This window comes from Homo sapiens, chromosome 9, assembly GCF_000001405.40.
Source record: "Homo sapiens chromosome 9, GRCh38.p14 Primary Assembly".
Taxonomy (NCBI): Eukaryota; Metazoa; Chordata; class Mammalia; order Primates; family Hominidae; genus Homo; species Homo sapiens.
The window spans coordinates 68,668,792-68,672,350 of record NC_000009.12 but is presented as its reverse complement, the minus strand read 5'-3'; the positions used below and the strand labels follow the sequence as shown (position 1 = coordinate 68,672,350).

The 3,559-nt window shown below is 37.3% G+C and overlaps 1 annotated feature.

The window, feature by feature from the left end:
• Positions 2,718 to 3,270: an enhancer, noted in NCBI's record as "NANOG hESC enhancer chr9:71283997-71284549 (GRCh37/hg19 assembly coordinates)". NCBI's record gives its function as "activates a minimal SCP1, AML or CMV promoter by ChIP-STARR-seq in naive H9 embryonic stem cells {active_cell/tissue: H9 hESC(naive)}" and the evidence as "EXISTENCE:reporter gene assay evidence [ECO:0000049][PMID:30033119]".

Sequence of the window (3,559 nt, the reverse complement as noted above, 5' to 3'; positions counted from 1 at the left end):
TCAAACCCCACTTCCTCCATGGGCCAAAATAACAGATGCTGGTGAGGGTGTGTGGAAAAAAGAACTCTCATACATTGTTGATAGGAATGTAAATTAGTACAACCATTACAGAGAACCATATAGAGATTTCTCAAAAAAAAAAAAAAAAAAAAACCCTGAAAATAGAACTACCGTATGATTCAGCAATCCCACTACTGAGTATTTATGCAAAGGAAAAGAAATCAGTGTACCAAAGGGATACATGCACTCCCATGTTTATTCACAATAGCAAAGATATGGAATCAACTTGTATCCATCAGTGGATGAATGAATAAAGAAAATGTGGTTTATTTATGCAATGGAATACTATTTGTCCAAAAAAAGAATGAAATCATGTCATTTACAGCAACATAGATGGAACTGTAGGTCATTATATCAAGTTAAATAAGCCAGACACAGAAATAAATATTGCATGTACTCACTTATATGTGGGAGCTTAAAATATGGATCTCATGGAGGTGGAAAATCAAATGGTGGTGACAAGAGACTGGGAAGGATTTAGATGTGTAGATGAAGACAGATTGATTAATGGGTACAAACATACAGTTATACAGAAGGAATAAGCAGTAATATTCAATTGTAGAGTAAGGTGACTACAGTTAACAACAATGTATTGTAGCTAGAAGTGAGAACTTGAAATGTTCTCAACACATAGAAATGGTAAAGTTTATGGTGATGGATCTCCTAAACATCCTGAAGTAGAAGTACACATTCTACGCATGTGACACAATGTCACATGTACCCCATAAATATGTACAAAACCCAAACCAACAAACAAAAAAATAATCACAAAGGGCCTGAGATTTCATAATAGCTACTGGAAAGCTAACAATTTAGCCAGCCAAGTTTCATGGATGCTGGTAGAAGGCATAGAACTCCTGGGTCAGAGACAAAGGACAGTTTTTAACTCACAGCAATGGTAGTAGCCAGAGTAGCAGCATTTTTGGGCCAGTTCTTCAAGTCCTGATGCCCCTGGGGTAATGTGGAGAGGGTCAAGTGACACCAGCACACACAGTAAGCTGCACTATAAGGAGAGGAATAGAGAGAACTTAGGACAGCCTCATGTTTTATAATGGATGGTAAACACGCTTCCCTTTTACTATCTCTAAACTCCAATGCTTGATGCTTCCTAGAAAGACATTACCTCTCTCTCTCAATGTGTTTACTATACAAAAATCCTTGAAAAGTTAGCCAAGAACAAAGATAGTCCATGCCTCCGCTCACAAGATATATGGAAACAAGAATCCCATGAAGAATGGTCTTTTGACACTGACAACCCAGGCTACATTGATGTTGCCTTCCTCTGTGTTTCTAAAACAGTATTTGTCTAGCTTGAGTGATGTGCAAAGCACTTCTGAGAAAACAAATTCTCATAGGCCTCCTAGGGTTCTCTTAAGCACTTATATTGTAATGTTATTTAAGTACAAGTAAGCCTAGGTGTATTCTCATTGTGCTCGTAGCTCTTACATACTAGAAAAAAGGGCAAGGAGTATAAATGCAAACCAAAACAAGAAAAGCAATCAATTTCATATTTACAATATTAAATTATTTTTACAGAAATTATTGCTTGGCTAAAACTAAATTGTCGATGTAGGCTTTAGTACTAAAAAGAAAACAAGTCCATATCTACATTTACCCTGCTCTTGTTTTTTTATTTCAACAATATCAGTGTGAATAATGCCTATTTGCAAAATATTTTGTACAAAACAGTATTAATAACAATAAGCTTTTGTTTGCTAATTCAGGGTTATTATACCTTATAGTTAACCTAAGTTAAAAAGCAATTTTAAAATAAACAAAGAAAAAAAGAAAAAAGAAAACAAAACAAAAAAGCAATTCTAATGTTACACTGCTTTATAGACTCTGAAAAGTTACATTCTCTTAAAATTTCTTAGCTTTACTGAATTACCAAATGTGTACTAAATGTGTTTGTCTAATTTAGTTATTGGTGGCATCAGCATATCTGGGTTCTTTTTTTCCTTGCAGATGTCAAAAACAAATTTCTAGTTTTATTAAAGAGTTGATAAGAATATTGACAGAATCCTGTACATATCAGAAATAGAATTTTATGAATAATTTGATCTTCAGTCAAGTTTTCTTTCTATCGCAGTCACTTTGACTTTACCTAGGATATTTAAACTCCTGTGAAAGCTTTGCTCATCCAGAGGAGTCCCATGTCCTTTGGCCATTCATTGGCTGTAGCACCTCATTTACACTTCACATCCACTAGAACAGTCGCAGCCGTATGTTACTGCTTGACCACAGTATGTTAGTGTAAATGATGGCAAATCTAAAAGTCTCAAGTTATTGAATAACATGAGAGACTAAAATATTACTATAGAAATAGGTTTTGTGATGGCAAATCATCACCAGACAGGATTTTGATATGAGGAGAGAGGTGGGCACAGCCTTCTTCCTGACAATTTGACATTGGAACATAGCTATCCATAATAATAGTGCTCAGACACTAAAAGTCAGTAAAAGTCAAAATCTCTAATTTGTGGAAATTGCTTAACAATTATACATACATAAATGTCATATGCAGAACATACTTAAATCACTTTTTGATTATCCTAATCAGAAAAAAATAACATTAGAAAATTTTTGTTGAGAATTGAGGATCCCCAAGAGTCTGTCCGAAGGCCCGCAGGAGTTCATGGACAAAGTCTGAGAAACCTGTTGCCAGGAAGCATCTTTGCCAGTGGTATGCGCCACGGGTCTTTTCATTTCTTACTTCCTTCCTAGCTATTTTCCATCTCCAGATTTTATTGCTTTTCTGTCTCTTAGAACTGACCTCCAACTCTTCACACAACAAACACACTGACCTTTCTCTCTTCCCTCTCAGTCACTTCCTGCGGCTTTCTCAGCCTAATGCAGCCCTCTTCCTCATGAGTGGCCATTCTTTTGGCATCTACCCAGGAGGCTTAACAACAGCGACTGTTTTCCTCAACTGGAGAGACACTTAGGCACAAAGACATCAAGGGCTTTGCCTGAATTCACTCCTCGGGCCAGGGATCAGGCCCACCTCTTCACCTCCTTTTACATATTTACTCCGATAGGCGGGTCCCCGCAGTCACGATTACACACAGTGAGCACCAGACCCTGCAAAAAGATAGCACCAATGAGGAGGGTCACAGTTCCTGCTACAACAGCTTTTGTTGTTGTTGTTGTGTTTATTGAGATCAGTGGTTTTTAAACATTTTTTTTTTAACAACTGTGGTAAAATACACATAACTTAAATTTACCATCTTAACCATTTTGAAGTATGTAGTTCGTTGGTTTTAAGTACATTCACTTTCCTGTACAACTGTCACCACCATCCATCTCCACCATCCATCTCCAAAACTCTTTTCTTTTTATTTGCTTTTTTTTTTTTTTTTTTTGAGACAGGGTCTTCCTCTGTCTCCCAGGCTGGAGTGCAGTGGTGTGATCATGGCTCACTGCAGGCTCAGCCTCCTGGGCTCAAGAGATTCTCCCAACTCAGCCTCCCAAGCAGCTGGGACCACAGTCACCTGCCACC